General features: G+C 43.2%; 4 annotated features.

Annotated features, from left to right (window-relative positions):
* Positions 785 to 1,525: an enhancer, noted in NCBI's record as "OCT4-NANOG-H3K27ac hESC enhancer chr13:91505936-91506676 (GRCh37/hg19 assembly coordinates)". NCBI's record gives its function as "activates a minimal SCP1, AML or CMV promoter by ChIP-STARR-seq in primed H9 embryonic stem cells {active_cell/tissue: H9 hESC(primed)}" and the evidence as "EXISTENCE:reporter gene assay evidence [ECO:0000049][PMID:30033119]".
* Positions 5,454 to 6,203: an enhancer, noted in NCBI's record as "OCT4-NANOG-H3K27ac hESC enhancer chr13:91501258-91502007 (GRCh37/hg19 assembly coordinates)". NCBI's record gives its function as "activates a minimal SCP1, AML or CMV promoter by ChIP-STARR-seq in naive H9 embryonic stem cells {active_cell/tissue: H9 hESC(naive)}" and the evidence as "EXISTENCE:reporter gene assay evidence [ECO:0000049][PMID:30033119]".
* Positions 6,204 to 6,954: an enhancer, noted in NCBI's record as "OCT4-NANOG-H3K27ac hESC enhancer chr13:91500507-91501257 (GRCh37/hg19 assembly coordinates)". NCBI's record gives its function as "activates a minimal SCP1, AML or CMV promoter by ChIP-STARR-seq in naive H9 embryonic stem cells {active_cell/tissue: H9 hESC(naive)}" and the evidence as "EXISTENCE:reporter gene assay evidence [ECO:0000049][PMID:30033119]".
* Positions 10,183 to 10,752: an enhancer, noted in NCBI's record as "NANOG-H3K27ac hESC enhancer chr13:91496709-91497278 (GRCh37/hg19 assembly coordinates)". NCBI's record gives its function as "activates a minimal SCP1, AML or CMV promoter by ChIP-STARR-seq in primed H9 embryonic stem cells {active_cell/tissue: H9 hESC(primed)}" and the evidence as "EXISTENCE:reporter gene assay evidence [ECO:0000049][PMID:30033119]".

Raw genomic sequence — 18,406 nt, 5'->3', positions numbered from 1 at the left:
TCTTTTGTTTAGAGGTGGAGTGACTTCCTTTGTCTCTCCTCTTCTTCCCTCTTTTCATAGTGTCATTTTTTTCTTAAAGGTATACAAAATGAAGTTCACATTCACTTACATGTATGCTTTGTATTGCACCAGCATATGGGTTTCTGCTAATCTATCTACTGAATGTGTGTTTTGCTCCATCTTATGTGGGTAGCTTTTAACAGACAGCATAAACTAGCTTACCCAGAGATTAAGCTCAAGACTTTCTCCTTATTATCCTGGTGTATTTATACACTAGAATGCTCATCTATTATCCCACAATTGTAACACTGATAGTTCTAATAGGACCTATGCTAAGCACTTTATGGATTACCTAGTTCATTCTCAATAATCTTATGCCAAAGTACTATTATTTTGTAATCTTATCTACAAGAAAACTGAGGCAGAGCATATATAAGTAGCTTGTCAATGTCCAGGATGCTAGAATGTGGCAGAGCTGGCATTACCAATCACAGCTTTCACCCTCATCTACTGCATCATAAAACATCACCTAAATTCATGAGCCCCAGGCCCTCAACTATATTTAGAACAAAATAAATTGTAGAGATGGGAAAAGAGAAGGGCCACATTGAAATTTAAGTGTTTTTTGCCAATTCTGGTGAGTTCCGTAGAAGTTCTCACAGTGCAGACAGAGCCCTTGCAGGAGAATGAGAACCACTTGCCTGAGTGTCAGAAATGCTGGGACTGAACTTCCATCTCATTTTTTAATAATTATAAGGAAATGTTGGGGTAAGGCACTTCACCTTTTTGAGACTCAGTTAAGAATAAAGACCTTTACTTTTTCCCATCTAAATCATAAGCAGGTTATGAGGCAATAAATATATTAAGTGCAGGCAAAGTATAAAGTATAATATAATTATAAGGGATTACAGGTGAGGAAAAAAGTCTCTGTCAGGCCTCTGAGCCCAAGCCAAGCCATCACATCCCCTGTGACTTGCACGTATACGCCCAGATGGCCTGAAGTAACTGAAGAATCACAAAAGAAGTGAATATGCCCTGCCCCACCTTAACTGATGACATTCCACCACAAAAGTGTAAATAGCCGGTCCTTGCCTTAAGTGACGACATTACCTTGTGAAAGTCCTTTTCCTGGCTCATCCTGGCTCAGAAAGCACCCCCACTGAGCACCTTGCGACCCCCACTCCTGCCCGCCAGAGAACAAAACCCCTTTGACTGTAATTTTCCTTTACCTTCCCAAAACCTATAAAACAGTGCCACCCTTATCTCCCTTCGCTGACTCTCTCTTTGGACTCAGCCCGCCTGCACCCAGGTGAAATAAACAGCCATGTTGCTCACACAAAGCCTGTTTGGTGGTCTCTTCACGCCGACGCACATGAAATTTGATGCCGTGACTTGGATCTGGGGACCTCCCTTGGGAGATCAATCCCCTGTACTCCTGTTCTTTGCTCCGTGAGAAAGATCCACCTATGGCCTCAGGTCCTCAGACTGACCAGCCCAAGGAACATCTCATCAATTTTAAATCAGGTAAGCGGCCTCTTCTTACTCTCTTCTCCAGCCTCTCTCACTGTCCCTCAACCACTTTCTCCTTTCCACTCTTCAATCTCTCCCTTCTCTTAATTTCAATTCCTTTCATTTTCTGGGAGAGACAAAGGAGACACGTTTTATCCGTGGACCCAAAACTCCGGTGCCGGTCACGGACTGGGAAGGCAGCCTTCCCTTGGTGTTTAATCATTGCAGGGACACCTCTCTGATTATACACCCACGTTTCACGGGTGTCAGACCACGCAGGGACGCCTGCCTTGGTCCTTCACCTTTAGCGGCAAGTCCCGCTTTTCTGAGGGAGGGGCAAGTACCCCTCAACCCCTTCTCTTTCACCCTTAGCGGCAAGTCCCGCTTTTCTAGGGGGCAAGAATGTCCAATACCTTATTTCCGCACCCCAACCTAGTATCTCCATGCCCCAATCCTTTATTTCCATGCCCCGACCCCTTATTTCCGTGCCCCGACCCCTTATTTCTGCACCCCATCCCTTATTTCCGTGCCCCGAACTCTTATATCTGCACCCCAACCCCTTTTCTCACTTTTCTGAAAGGTAAGAATCCCTGAACCCCTTCCCTCCGTTTCTCTACTCTCTCTTTTCTCGAGGCTTGCTTCCTCCACTATAGGCAAACTTCCACCCTCCATTCCTCCTTCTACTCCCTTGGCCTGTGTTCTCAAAAACTTAAAACCTCTTCAACTCACACCTGACCTAAAACCTAAATGCCTTATTTTCTTCTGCAATGCCGCTTGACCCCAATACAAACTCAACAGTAGTTCCAAATAGCCAGAAAATGGAACTTTGAATTTCTCCATCCTGCAAGATCTAAATAATTCTTGTCATAAAATAGGCAAATGATCTGAGGTGCCTGACGTCCAGGCATTCTTTTACACATCAGTCCCTTCCTAGTCTCTGTGCCCAGTGCAACTCATCCCAAATCTTCTTTCCCTCCCACCTGTCCCCTCAGTCCCAATCCCAAGCGTCGCTGAGTCTTTCTAATCTTCCTTTTCTACAGACCTATCTGACCTCTCCCCTCCTCGCCAGCCCGAGCTAGGTCCCAATTCTTCCTCAGCCTCCGCTCCTCCACCCTATAATCTTTTTATCGCCTCCCCTCCTCACACCTGGTCGGGCTTACAGTTTCGTTCTGTGACTAGCCCTCCCCCACCTGCCCAGCAATTTACTCTTAAAAAGGTGGCTGGAGCCAAAGGCATAGTCAAGGTTAATGCTCCTTTTTCTTTATCCCAAATCAGAACCGTTTAGGCTCTTTTTCATCAAATATAAAAATCCAGCCCAGTTCATGGATCGTTTGGCAGCAACCCTGAGACACTTTACAGCCCTAGACCCTAAAAGGTCAAAAGGCTGTCTTATTCTCAATATACATTTTATTATCCAATCTGCTCCCCACATTAAATAAAACTCCAAAAATTAAATTCCGGCCCTCAAACCCCACAACAGGATTTAACTAACCTCGCCTTCAAGGTGTACAATAATAGAAAAAAGTTGCAATTCCTTGTCCCCACTGTGAGACAAACCCCAGCCGCATCTCCAGCACACAAGAACTTCCAAACGCCTGAACCGCAGCGGCCAGGTGTTCCTCCAGAACCTCCTCCCCCAGGAGCTTGCTACAAGTGCCAGAAACGTGGCCACCAGGCCAAGGAATGCCTGCAGCCCAGGATTCCTCCTAAGCCACGTCCCATCTGTGCCGGACCCCACTGGAAATCGGACTGTCCAACTCACCTGGCAGCCACTCCCAGAGCCCCTGGAACTCTGGCCCAAGGCTCTCTGACTGCTTCCCAGATCTTCTTGGCTTAGCGGCTGAAGACTGACGCTGCCTGATTGCCTCGGAAGCCCCCTAGACCATCACGGATGCCCAGCTTCAGGTAACTCTCACAGTGGAAGGTAAGCCCGTCCCCTTCTTAATCAATACGGAGGCTACCCACTCCACATTACCTTCTTTTCAAGGGCCTTTTTCCCTTGCCTCCACAGCTGTTGTCGGTATTGATGGCCAGGCTTCTAAACCTCTTAAAACTCCCCAACTCTGGGGCCAACTTAGACAATACTCTTTTAAGCACTCCTTTTTAGTTATCCCCACCTGCCCAGTTCCCTTATTAGGCTGAGACACTTTAACTAAATTGTCTGCTTCCCTGACTATTCCTGGACTACAGCTGCATCTCATTGCTGCCCTTCTTCCCAATCCAAAGCCTCCTTTGCATCCTCCTCTTGTATCCCCCAAACTTAACCCGCAAGTATAAAATACCTCTACTCCCTCCTTGGTGACTGATCATGCACCCCTTATCATCTCATTAAAACCTAATCACCCTTACGCCACTCAACCCCAATATCCCATCCCGCAGCACGCTTTAAAAAGATTAAAGCCTGTTATCACTCGCCTGCTACAGCACGGCCTTTTAAAGCCTATAAACTCTCCTTACAATTCCCCCATTTTACCTGTCCTAAAACCAGACAAGCCTTACAAGTTAGTTGAGGATCTGCGCCTTATTAACCAAATTGTTTTGCCTATCCACCCAGTGGTGCCAAACCCATATATTCTCCTATCCTCAATACCTGCCTCTATAACCCATTATTCTGTTCTGGATCTCAAACATGCTTTCTTTACTATTCCTTTGCACCCTTAATCCCAGCCTCTCTTCACTTTCACTTAGACTGACCCTGACACCCATCAAGCTCAGCAAAATACCTAGGCTGTACTGCTGCAAAGCTTCACAGACAGCCCCCATTACTTCAATCAAGCCCAAATTTCTTCCTCATCTGTTACCTATCTCGGCATAATTCTCATAAAAACACACGTGCTCTCCCTGCTGATCGTGTCCGACTAATCTCTCAAACCCCAGCACCTTCTACAAAACAACAACTCCTTTCCTTCCTAGGCATGGTTAGTGCGGTCAGAATTCTTACACAAGAGCCAGGACCACACCCTGTAGCCTTTCTGTCCAAACAACTTGACCTACTGTTTTAGCCTAGCCCTCATGTCTGCGTGCAGTGGCTGCCGCTGCATTAATACTTTTAGAGGCCCTCAAAATCACAAACTATGCTCAACTCACTCTCTACAGTTCTCATAACTTCCAAAATCTATTTTCTTCCTCATACCTGATGCATATACTTTCTGCTCCCCGGCTCCTTCAGCTGTACTCACTCTTTGTTGAGTCTCCCTCAATTCCATTGTTCCTGGCCCAGACTTCAATCCAGCCTCCCACATTATTCCTGATACCACACCTGACACCCAGGACTGTATCTCTCCGATCCACCTGACATTCACCCCATTTCCCCAAATTTCCTTCTTTCGTGTTCCTCACTCTGATCACACTTGATTTATTGATGGCGGTTCCACCAGGCCTAATCGCCACACACCAGCAAAGGCAGGTTATGCTATAGTACAAGCCACTAGCCCACCTCTTAGAACCTCTCATTTCCTTTCCATCGTGGAAATCTATCCTCAAGGAAATAACTTCTCAGTGTTCCATCTGCTATTCTACTACTACTCAAGGATTATTCAGGCCCCCTCCCTTCCCTACACATCAAGCTCGAGGATTTGCCCCCACCCAGGACTGGCAAATTAGCTTTACTCAACATGTCCTGAGTCAGATAACTAAAATACCTCTTAGTCTAGGTAGATAATTTCACTGGATAGGTAGAGGCCTTTCCCACAGGGTCTGAGAAGGCCACCTCAGTCATTTCTTCCTTTCTGTCAGACATAATTCCTCAGTTTAGCCTTCCCACCTCAACACACTCTTATAACAGACCAGCCTTTATTAGTCAAATCAGCCAAGCAGTTTTTCAGGCTGTTAGTATTCAGTGAAACCTTTATATCCCTTACGGTCCTCCATCTTCAAGAAAAGTAGAATGGACTAAAGATCTTTTAAAAACACACCTCACCAAGCTCAGCCACCAACTTAAAAAGGACTGGACAATACTTTAACCACTTTCCCTTCTCAGAATTCAGGCCTGTCCTCGGAATGCTACAGGGTACTGCCCATTTGAGCTCCTGTATAGACGCTCCTTTTTATTAGGCCCCAGTCTCATTCCAGACACCAGACCAACTTAGACTGTGCCCCAAAAAACTTGTCATCCCTATTATCTTCTGTCTAGTCATACTCCTATTCACCGTTCTCAACTACTCATACATGCCCTGCTCTTGTTTACACTGCCGGTTTACAGTTTCTCCAAGCCATCACAGCTGATATCTCCTCGTGCTATCCCCAAACTGCCACTCTTAACTCTTGAAGTAAATACATAATCTTTGCTGGCAGGACTATGCTGAATCTCCTTAGGCACTATCTAATCAGATATCCTGAGTTGTCCCAATTCTTAGAACTTTTATACCTGTTTTTCTCCTTCTGTTATTCCATTTAGTTTCTCAATTCATCCAAAACCATATCCAGGCCATAACCAATAATTCTACACAACAAATGTTTCTTCTAACAACCCCACAATATCACCCCTTACCACAAGACCTCCCTTCAGCTTAATCTCTCCCACTCTAGGTTCCCACGCTGCCCCTAATCCCGCTTGAAGCAGCCCTGAGAAACATCACCCATTCTCTCTCCATATCACCCCCCAAAAATTTTCACTGCCCCAACACTTCAACACTATTTTGTTTTATTTTTCTTATTAATATAAGAAGGCAGGAATGTCAGGCCTCTGAGCCCAAGCCAAGCCATTGCATCCCCTGTGACTTGCACATATAAGCCCAGATGGCCTGAAGTAACTGAAGAATCACAAAAGAAGTGAATATGCCCTGCCCCACCTTAACTGATGACATTCCACCACAAAAGAAGTGTAAATGGCCGGTCCTTGCCTTAAGTGATGACATTACCTTGTGAAAGTCCTTTTCCTGGCTCATCCTGGCTCAAAAAACACCCCCACTGAGCACCTTGGGACCCCCACTCCTGCCCGCCAAAGAACAAACCCCCTTTGACTGTAATTTTCCTTTACCTACCCAAATCCTATAAAACAGCCCCACCCCTATCTCCCTTCGCTGACTCTCTTTTTGGACTCAGCCTGCCTGCACCCAGGTGAAATAAACAGCCATGTTGCTCACACAAAGCCTGTTTGGTGGTCTCTTCACATGCACGAGCATGAAAGTCTCTTTAAAAGATGATTTGAAAAAGTGAAAACAATTTTAGAAAAGTACAGAGATTTACAGAAGTGCATACTCATGACCTAGGATTAACTATATTTATATTTGTCATTTTTGCAATAGTTTAGAAATAAAATAGAATCCCTTTTTTTCCTATCTTAAAGTTCATTTCCCTACCTTCCCACTCTGAGTGAACCAATGTGATGAATTTGATGAGTGTTCCATTAGACCATGTTTGTACTGAAATTCTGTTTCTATAAGTAATGTGTTTCATTATGTTTTTACAAAGTTATATAAATGCTGTCAGTCAATACAGAGCAACTTATTCTTGCAACTTAATTTTTTATTCCACGCTGTGTTTTTAGCTCTTCTCTGTACATTTCTATACCTCTGATTCAAGTGTATGAACATTTCACAAATATTTATCCATTCTCCCACTGATGAACAATTGATTAATCCCAAATTTTGTTATGCTTTAACATGCGTACATCTCCAGATACACCCATGGAAAAATCTCTCTCTTCATTTACCCTAGATTGGAGGCACACCAAGGTTTAAGACCCAGTGCCCTGATGTGATAAGCACACCTCATTTGAACTAATGTTTCATGTTTATTTTCTTGTTTTCTGCACTGAATCTTTTGTAAGTTCACATTTCTAAAGGGCACAATGAAACAAATATTTTGAGTTTTAGTACTTTGGTTTAATGGGATCTTGAAAGATCTCTGGGCAGTAAAGAAGTAAGCACTTAAAGTCATCTGTCATTTGGCCAATGGAATTCATTTTTAAAAACACGCATTTAATCATCAAATTCTTTAGTGTAAAGCATTTCAGTTAAATTGACATTCTATGACTACCAAATAGGAAACAAATTCTTAGTAAGCCTGAAAGAACCTTCAATGGTCTCAACACCTATTTTCCTCCTTAATCTCTTGATTTGTGCCCCTGACTATGTTTTATCTACACTAAAACCCTTGCAGTTCCCAATCTGCTCGTTGTAGTTTAAAACTTTCACGCTTCGTTAATGTCACTGCCTCTGTCATCTTTGAAAAGACGATAGTTTTGTGCCTGCTGAACATATATGAAATGCATGCAAAAAGAGTTTGTTGAAACTCTTTGTTACGACTTGCTCTTCCCGCTTCACATTCTACCTGGCCTCTAATTTAATATTAATTGTTTTGGAAATCAGAGTCAACAAAAAGACCCACAAGACTTAATGGGGTCCCATCAGTCATCATAATTTGATTTGAAAGGCTGAAAGCGGGCAGCACTGTCATTCATAGCCAAACAGTCCTATTGAGAGGTCTTGGACTATCAGGCCAGCTGTCAGACCACTCCATGCACTGGGTGTGCTCTGTTGGTCAGGGACTGGGAGGGAAACTACCTCTCCTTCCCTTAACCAAGCATGAATTATGTTTGTTAGCAAACCTCTCTGGGAATATATGTCAAGCCACATTCCTCCTGGGGCAGCTGCAACTTCAGGGCTTCACAATAAACAGTTCTGAAAACCAGATATTATCTGCAATTTAGCATACAGCATGGAATTATGATACATAATTCACTATGCTTCAGAGAATAGGGCTGCAAGAAGATAAAATCAGGGTTTTAATTCCCAGCTATCTCTCTCAAATTTTAAGAGAGATGTTATGGACTGTGCTCTCCCCACAACCCGGCCCATAAGTCGCATGTTGAAGTTCTTACCTCTAGTACCTTGGACTGTGACTATATTTGGAAACAGGGCCTTTAAAGAGACAGTTAAGTGAAAAGGAGGCCTTTAGTATGGGCCTAGTGTAATCTGACCAGCCCTTATCAGATTAATAAAGTTAAATACACAGAAAGATACCAGAGATGCATTAGCGCAAAGGAAAGACCATGTGAGCACACGAAGAGAAGGCAGCCATAGGCAAGCCAAAGACAGTGGCCTTAGAAGAAATCAACCCTGCCAGTACCTTGATCTTGGACTTCCAGCTTCCAAAATTGTAAGAAAAGAAACTCCTGATGTTTAAGTCATCCCATCTGTGATATTTTGTTATGGAAGCCTGTGTTAGGTCGCTTTTGCATTGCTGTAAAGAAATACCTGGGAGTGCATAATTTATGAAGAAAAGAGGTTTAATTGGCTCACGTTCTGCAGGCTTTACAGGAAGCATGGTGCTAGCATCTGCTCAGCTTCTGACGAAGCCTCAGAGAGCTTTCATTCATGGCAGAAGGCAAAGGGGGAACAGGCACATCACATGTGGAAAGCAGAAGAAGGGGAGAGAGTGAAGGGAAAGGTGCCACACACTCTTAAATTACCACATCTCATGAGAACTCACTATAAGGAAGACAGCACCAAGCCATGAGGGATCCGCCTCCATGATCCAAACACTTCCCACTAAGCTCCATCTCCAGCACGGGAGATTACAATTCAACATGAGATTTGGGCAGGGACAAATACCCAAACTACATCACAGCCCTAGCAAGCTAATACAAGGTAACTGGGATGTCATCCTGCACTTTTGAAAACTTATTGCACTTATTCTTTTAGAAGTCTGTTTCGAAAAAAAAAAAAAATTCTGTTTCATTCATTAGACAGTGAAACTCATTGACACTTTCCTGACTATTCATTATAAAATTGCATCTATCTTTCCAATGTTCCCTACCACTTATCATCCTCTTGCAAACTACATGTTTTTCATGTATTTGTTTATTATCTGGGACCCTTACTGTCCTTTCCCCTGCTCTATATTCCATCACTTCACTAGAATTTAAACTGCTGGAGAGCAGACATTTGCATTTGTTTTGTGCATTGCCCAGTGGCCAGTACCTAGAACACTACTCAGCTTAGAAAGGCTGTAAATAACTATTTACATGACAGCAAGAACAGTTTAAGAATTAGGTAATCTGCAGATTTCTATGCAGAGCAAATGCATGGTGTGACATAGGTATATAATTTGTAGATATTTAACAAATGTTTCTTGAGCAAACACCAGCAGATTTCAAATATTTTCTTCAGAAAACTTAATAATTGCAGAATTTTCATTCTTTCCAAATTCTGTTTTTACTTTAAAAAACTTTACATGCTTCATTTTAAATTTAACAAGCCATATATATATGTGTGTGTGTGTGCAATGCTCTGGACATAGTGCTTAAAGTTTTACTAAATTTGACACATTTAACTCATATCAATTCTTTTTTGGATTTTTAAAAGAAAATTGTAAAAGGTAGAGTTGGTGGGAGAATCTGGGGAAGAAAGGATCCTAGTTCGAGCTCTGGCCTGCTAAGAAAGAATTCTAGTATGAATGTGAAGATCAATAGAGCTTTGAAACTCAGATTAGAGCAGACCATAGGAGAAGCAGGGGTCATTGTCGCTGACTGGATTTAGTACACAGGGAATGTGTAACCCAGGGTTATGTTTTAAAAACCATTCAATCAGTGGCATTACTAATGGTAATTTTCATGCACGTCCGTGTGAAGAGACCACCAAACAGGCTTTGTGTGAGCAACATGGCTGTTTATTTCACCTGGGTGCAGGCGGGCTGAGTCCAAAAAGAGAGTCAGTGAAGGGAGATAGGGGTGAGGCCATTTTATAGGATTTGGGAAGGTAATGGAAAACTACAGTCAAAGGGGGTTGTTCTCTGGTGGGCAGGGGCGGGGGTCACAAGGTGCTCAGTGTGGGAGCTTCTGAGCCAGGAGAAGGAAATTCACAGGGTTAATCACTCAGTTAAGGTGGGGCAGGAACAAATCACAATGGTGGAATGTCATCAGTTAAGGCGGGGCAGGGCCTTTTCATTTCTTTTGTGATTCTTCAGTTACTTCAGGCCATCTGGGCATATATACGTGCAAGTCACAGGGGATGCAATGGCTTGGCTTGGGCTCAGAGGCCTGACATTCCTGCCTTCTTATATTAATAAGAAAAATAAAACAAAATAGTGTTGAAGTGGTGGGGCGCCGAAAATTTCTGGGGGATGGTATGGAGAGAGAATGGACGATGTTTCTCAGGGCTGCTTCAAGCGGGATTAGGGGCAGCGTGGGAACCTAGAGTGGGAGAGATTAAGCTGAAGGAAGATTTTGTGGTAAGGGGCGATATTGTGGGGTTGTTAGAAGAAACATTTGTCATTTAGAATTATTGGTGATGGCCTGGATATGGTTTTGTATGAATTGAAAAACTAAATGGAATAAGAGAAGGAGAAAAACAGGTATAAAAGGTCTAAGAATTGGGAGGACCTAGAACATCTGATTAGAGAGTGCCTAAGGAGATTCAGCATAGTCCTGCCAGCAAAGATTATGTATTTACTTCAAGAGTTAAGAGTGGCAGTTTGGGGATAGCACCAGGAGATATCAGCTGTGATGGCTTGGAGAAACAGTGTAAACCGGCAGTGTAAACAAGAGCAGGGCATGTATGAGTAGTTGAGAATGGAGAATAGGAGTATGAATAGACAGAAAATAGTAGGGATGACAAGTTTTTTTGGGGGGCATAGTCTAAGTTGGTCTGGTGTCTGGAATGAGACTGGGGCCTAATAAAAAGGAGCTCAAATAGGCTGTACCCTGTAGCATTCTGAGGACAGGTCTGACTTCTGAGAAGGGAAAGTGGTAAAAGTATTGTCCAGTCCTTTTTAAGTTGGTGGCTGAGCTTGGTGAGGTGTGTTTTTGAAAGACCTTTAGTCCATTCTACTTTTCCTGAAGATGGAGGACCATAAGGGATATAAAGGCTTCACTGAATACTAACAGCCTGAAAAACTGCTTGGCTGATTTGACTAATAAAGGCTGGTCTGTTATCAGACTGTATAGAGGTGGGAAGGCTAAACTGAGGAATTATGTCTGACAGAAGGGAAGAAATGACTGAGGTGGCCTTCTCAGACCCTGTAGGAAAGGCCTTTACTTATTCAATGAAAGTGTCTATTTAGACTAAGAGGTATTTTAGTTTCCTGACTCGGGGCATGTTGAGTAAAGCTAATTTGCCAGTCCTGGGTGGGGGCAAATCCTCGAGCTTGATGTGTAGGGAAGGGAGGGGGCCAGAATAATCCATGAGGAGTAGTAGAATAGCAGATGGAACACTGAGAAGTTATTTCCTTGAGGATAGATTTCTACGATGGAAAGGAAACGAAAGGTTCTAAGAGGTGGGCTAGTGGCTCGTACTATAGCATAACCTGCCTTTGCTGTTGTGTGGCGATTAGGCCTGGTGGAAATGCCATCAATAAATCAAGCGTGATCAGGGTGAGGAACAGGAAAGAAGGAAATATGGGGAAATGGGGTGAATATCAGGTGGATCAGAGAGATACAGTCATGGGTGTCAGGTGTGGTATCAGGAATAATGTGGGAGGCTGGATTGAAGTCCAGGCCAGGAACAATGGTAATTGTGGGACTTAACAAAGAGTGAGTACAGCAGAAAGTATATGCGTCAGGTATGAGGAAGAAAATAGATTTTGGAAGTTATGAGAACTGTACAGAGTGAGTTGAGCATAGTTTGTGATTTTGAGGGCTTCTAAAAGTATTAAAGCAGTGGCAGCCACTGCACGCAGACGTGAGGGCTAGGCTAAAACAGTAAGGTCAAGTTGTTTGGAAAGAAAGGCTACAGGGTGTGGTCCTGGCTCTTGTGTAAGAATTCTGACCACACTAACTATGCCTAGGAAGGAAAGGAGTTGTTTTGTAAGGGATTGAGGTTTGGGAGATTAATCAGACACGATCAGCAGGGAGAGCACGTGTGTTTTTATGAGAATTATGCTGAGATAGGTAACAGATGAGGATGAAATTTGGGCTTGACTGAAGTAATGGGGGCTGTCTGTGAAGCTTTGCAGCAGTACAGCCCAGGTAATTTGCTGAGCCTAATGGGTGTCAGGGTCAGTCCAAGTGAAAGCGAAGAGAGGCTGGGATGAGGGGTGCAAAGGAATAGTAAAGAAACCATGTTTGAGATCTAGAACAGAATAACAGGTTGTGGAGGGAGGTATTGAGGATAGGAGAGTATATGGGTTTGGCACCACTGGGTGGATAGGCAAAACAATTTGGTTGATAAGGCATAGATCCTGAACTAACTTATAAGGCTTGTCTGGTTTTAGGACAGGTAAAATGGGGGAATTGTAAGGAGAGTTTATAGGCTTTAAAAGGCCATGCTGTAGCAGGTGAGTGATAACAGGCTTTAATCCTTTTAAAGCGTGCTGTTAGATGGGATCTTGACATTGAGTGGGGTAAGGGTGATTAGGTTTTAATGAGATGGTAAGGGGTGCATGATCGGTCACCAAGGAGGGAGTAGAGGTATCTTATACTTGTGGGTTAAGGTGGGGAGATACAAAGGGAGGATGCAAAGGAGGCTTTGGATTGGGAAGAAGGCAGCAATGAGATGCAGCTGTAGTCCAGGAATAGTCAGGGAAGCAGATAATTTGGTTAAAATATCTTGGCCTAATAAGGGAACTGGGCAGGTGGGGATAACTAAAAAAGAGTGCTTAAAAGAGTATTGTCTAAGTTGGCACCAGAGTTGGGGAGTTTTAAGAGGTTTAGAAGCCTGGCCGTCAATACCCACAACAGTTATGGAGGCAAGGGAAACAGGCCCTTGAAAATAAGGTAATGTGGAGTGGGTAGCCTCCATATTGATTAAGAAGAGAACGGACTTACCCTCCACTGTGAGAGTTACCTAAGCTCAGCGTCCGTGATGGTCTATGGGGCTTCCAAGGCGATCGGGCAGCATCAGTCTTCAGCCATTCAGTGGAGAAGATCTGGGAAGGAGTCAGTCAGAGAGCCTTGGGCCAGAGTTCCAGGGGCTTTGGGAGTGGCTGCCAGGTGAGTTGAACAATCCGATTTTCAACGGGGTCCCACACAGATGGGACGTGGCTTAGGAGGAATCCCGGGCTGTGGGCATTCCTTGGCCCAGTGGCCAGATTTCCGGCATGTGTAGCAAGCTCCTGGGGGAGGAGGTTCTGGAGGAATGCCTGGCTGCTGCGGTTCAGGCGTTTGGAAGTTCTTGTGTGCTGGAGATGTGGCTGGGGTTTGTCTCTCAGTGGAGGCAAGGAATTGCAACTTTTTTTTTATTATTGTACACCTTGAAGGTGAGGTTAATTAAGTCCTGTTGTGGGGTTTGAGGGCCAGATTCCAATTTTTGGAGTTTAATGTGGGGAGCAGATTGGGTAATAAAATGTATATTGAGAATAAGATGGCCTTTCGACCTCTTATGGTCTAGGGCTGTAAAGTGTCTCAGGGTTGCTGCCGAACAAGCCATGAACTGGGCTGGGTTTTTATATTTGATGAAAAAGAGCCTAAACACTTCTGATTTGGGATAAAGAAAAAGGAGCATTAATCTTGACTATGCCTTTGGCTCCAGCAACCTTTTTAAGAGTAAATTGCTGGGCAGGTGGTGGAGGGCTAGTCACAGAACGAAACTGTAAGCCAGACCAGGTGTGAGGAGGGGAGGCGATAAAAAGATTATAGGGTGGAGGAGCGGAGGCTGAGGAAGAATTGGGAACTAGCTTGGCCTGGCGAGGAGGCGAGAGGTCAGATGGGTCTGTAGAAAAGGAAGATTAGAAAGACTCAGCGACGCTTGGGATTGGGACTGAGGGGACAGGTGGGAGGGAAAGAAGGAAGACTTGGGACGAGTTGCACTGGGCACAGAGACTAGGAAGGTACTGATGTGTAAAAGAATGCCTGGACGTCAGGCACCTCAGATCATTTGCCTATTTTACGACAAGAATTATTTAGATCTTGTAGGATGGAAACATTGAAAGTGCCGTTTTTTGGCTATTTGGAACTACTGTCGAGTTTGTATTGGGGTCAAGCAGCATTGCAGAAGAAAATAAGATGCTTAGATTTTAGGTCAGGTGTGAGTTGAAGAGGTTTTAAGTTCTTAAGAATACAGGCTAAGGGAGAAGGAGGAGGAATGGAGGGTGGAAGGTTTCCCATAGTGAAGGAGGCAAGCCCAGAGAAAAGAGTAGAGACACGGAGAAGGGGTGGGGATTTCTTGCCCTCCAGAAAAGCAGAGAAAGGGTTGGGGCACGGAAATAAGGGATTGGGGGTTCTTGCCCCCTAGAAAAGCGGGACTTGCCGCTAACGGTGAAGGAGAAGGGGTTGAGGGGTTCTTGCCCCTGCCCCAGAAGATCAGAGAAGGGGTAGAGACACAGAGAGAAGGGGTTGGAGTACTTGTCCCTCCCCCAGAAAAGCGGGACTTGCCGCTAAGGCTGAAGGACCAAGGCAGGCCTCCTTGTGTGGTCTGACACCTTTGAAACGTGGGTGAATAATCAGAGAGGCGTCCCTGAAATGATTAAACACCAAGGGAAGGCTGCCTTCCCAGTCCGTGACCGGTGCTGGAGTTTTGGGTCCACGGATAAAATGTGTCTCCTTTGTCTCTACCAGAAAATGAAGGGAATTGAAATTAAGAGAAGGAAGAGATTGAAGTGTGGCACCAAGAATGAAAGGAGAAAGAGGTTGAGGAATAGGGAGGGAGGTTGGAGAAAAGAGTAAAAAGAGGCTGCCTACCGGATTTGAAATTGGTGAGATGGTTCTTGGGCTGGTCAGTCTGAAGACCTGAGGTCGTAGGTGGATATTTCTCATGGAGCAAAGAACAGGAGGACATGAGATTGATCTCCCAAGGGAGGTCCCCCGATCCAAGTCACGTCACCAAATTTCACGCGTGTCCTTGTGAAGAGACCACCAAACAGGCTTTGTGTGAGCAACATGGCTGTTTATTTCACTTGGGTGCAGGCGGGCTGAGTCCAAAAAGAGAGTCAGTGAAGGGAGATAGGGGTGGGGTCGTTTTATAGGATTTGGGAAGGTAATGGAAAATTACAAAGGGGGTTGTTCTCTGGTGGGCAGGGGCGGGGGTCACAAGGTGCTCAGTGTGGGAGCTTCTGAGCCAGGAGAAGGAAATTCACAGGGTTAATCACTCAGTTAAGGTGGGGCAGGAACAAATCACAATGGTGGAATGTCATCAGTTAAGGCGGGGCAGGGCCTTTTCACTTCTTTTGTGATTCTTCAGTTACTTCAGGCCATCTGGGTGTATACGTGCAAGTCACAGGGAATGTGATGGCTTGGCTTGGGCTCAGAGGCCTGACAGTAACTTCCATTAGATTTATAACTATATGGTCACTTTTAATTTTTTTTTTTTTTGGGACATCAGCTTAGTGCATCCTTGTGTTAAGAACTGTGAAAATTCTGAAAACTTACTCTGTTTGCAATTGAACAGGTTAGACTGCCACAGTTTTATATATACTGGCAGGAGATACAAGATTCCTGTGTCAGAGATACTGAACTTTATTACTTATGGCCCTGAAGGCAGCATGAGCTCAGGTTTGCATCATTCTCCTTCCCCTGCAAGCCTATGGGGTCAATGTGAGGCCCAGGTGGATGTTGCATATACAAATTTGTGCCACAGATGAGGAATTCCAAGGTTAGGAGGTGTCCATTCTTATAAAGGGAACTTCTAGCAAACCTGCCCAGCCCTTTCCCTGGAGGGAAACATTATCTGTATTATCCTAAAGAGCAAACAAATCTGCTCTTGGTTCCAAATAGAGACACTTTATCTTTCAAGACAATGCCTATGCAAATATCTTAGAAAAGATAGTCTAGGAGAAACAAGCTGCCACAAGAACTGCAAAAATGCAAACAGCCTATAAAGAATTGTCTCCCAACATATTGATCTTTTATATTATTCTCTTTATGCGTTGTCATAAAAAGTTGAGAGACTGCAATCCTGCACCTGAAATCCTCATTTCCCTTCTTTTCAGTGTTCTTTATCTGATTTTTCAAAATTCATATACTATTTGTACAGTTTCTATTGAACCTCACCTGAATTCCAGTTTTATTTACTATGTTAAATGATTCATTCAACAGCTATTTACTGAGTATATATTGAAGAGATAGCTGAACTCCCATGTTTGTTGCAGCACAGGTCATGATAGCCAAGATTTGGAAGCAACCTATGTGTCTATCAGCAGATGAATGGATAAAAAAAATGTTGTACATATACACACAAAGTACGATTCAGTGATCAAATGAATGAGATCTTGTCATTTGCAACAACATAGATGGAATGGAAGTCATTATGTTAAGTGAAATAAGCCAGGCACAGAAAGACAAACATTGCATATTCTCACTTATTCATGGGATGTAAAAATGAAAACCGTTGCACGTCATGGAGCTAGAGAGTAGAAGGCTGGTTACCAGAGGCTGGTAAAGGTGTTGAGGGCATGGGGGAAGGTGGGATAATTAATGGGCACAAAAATATAGTTAGAAAAAAATTAATAATACCTAGTATTGGATAGCACAACATGGTAACTATTAGTCAACAATATTTTGTACATTTTAAAATAACTGAAAGTATAATTGGATTGTTTGTAACAAAAAGGATAAATGCTTCTGGGGATGAATACTCCCATTCTCCACAGTATGATTATTATGCATTGCATGCCTGTACCAAAACATCTCATGTACCCCACAAATATACACACCTACAATGTACCCACAAAAATTAAAAATTAAAAAATATATGCCAGGCACTGTACTAGCAATGAGGAATACAATAGTGAACAAGACAGATGAAACCTTTTTTATCTTGGGGGTGGGGAGGTCTGGAAAATTTAACAAAGAAATAAATCAACACTGTTATAATTTTAGAGACTGTTAAATAATAGTAAGAAATAACAAAGAGTTATATAATAGAGAATGATTTGGCAAATGGCAGCATTAGATGAGAGATATTGGCAAAATGTCCTCTGAGAATATGATTTTGAAGCTGAGATTGGAAAGAGGACAAGAGGGTGGCAGAGATTAGGGGTAAAGGACATTTCAAGAGGAAAGAAGAGCTAGTACAAAGATTCTGGATTGGAAAAAGTAGGGTGTTTGATGAGGAGAAGGAAGGCATCTGTGGCTGGAACATACTAGGAGAGGTAAAAATGATCAGAAATGCAGTCCGCAATAGACAAAACCAAAAACAGGTAGGGTTCTTTTGTAATCCATAGGAAATAGTTTAGATTTTATTATAAGTATTATGGAAATAACTTTTCTAAGTACATTTTATACATTTCACCTTGAGCTGGCTTAGTCTAGGGTAATGGGTTTGAAAATGGAGGAGGGTAGACAACTTTAAGAGTTTTGAAACTAGAGGGAATATAATGATTTTATGTGTCTCTGCTACTTCATATACTCAAGTTTAATTTTATCAAGATTATTTTGTTTTATAGAATGTAATTTGTCTCATATTATCTCAAGTACATCAACATAAGGAAGGAAACCAGAGATAATGGAATAGTCTTGATAAGAAAAGAATATTTTTGATATAATTAAATGATTAACAGTCTCTAACAGTAGTAAGGAAATTGAAAGTGTAATAACTTCGCAATTTCTGTTTAGTAGCTCTTATTTGGTTTTACAAATGATATAATGACTGATATGGTTTGATTTAATGGTTTGATACTGATATAATGATATAATGATATGATTTGATACTGATATAATGACTGATTTGTAGCTCCCATAATTCCCACTTGTTCTGAGAGGGACCCAGTGGGAGATGAATCATGGAGGCGGGTTTTTCTCATGGTGTTCTTATGACAGTGAATGGGTCTCATGAGATCTGATCATTTTAAAAATGGGAGTTTCCGGCCGGGTGTGGTGGCTCATGCCTATAATCCTAGGACTTTGGGAGGCCGAGGTGGGTGGATCACCTGAGGCCAGGAGTTCGAGACCAGCCTGACCAACATGGTGAAACCCTGTCTTTACTAAAAATACAAAAATTAGCCAGGCGTGGTGGCACATGCCTATAATCCAAGCTACTTGGGAGGCTGAGGCAGGAGAATTGCTTGAACCTGGCAGGGGCAG

The sequence above is a fragment of the Homo sapiens genome, chromosome 13 (assembly GCF_000001405.40).
Source record: "Homo sapiens chromosome 13, GRCh38.p14 Primary Assembly".
Classification (NCBI taxonomy): Eukaryota; Metazoa; Chordata; class Mammalia; order Primates; family Hominidae; genus Homo; species Homo sapiens.
The sequence above is the reverse complement of the archived record's forward strand: the minus strand, read 5'-3'. Positions and strand labels throughout refer to the sequence as shown.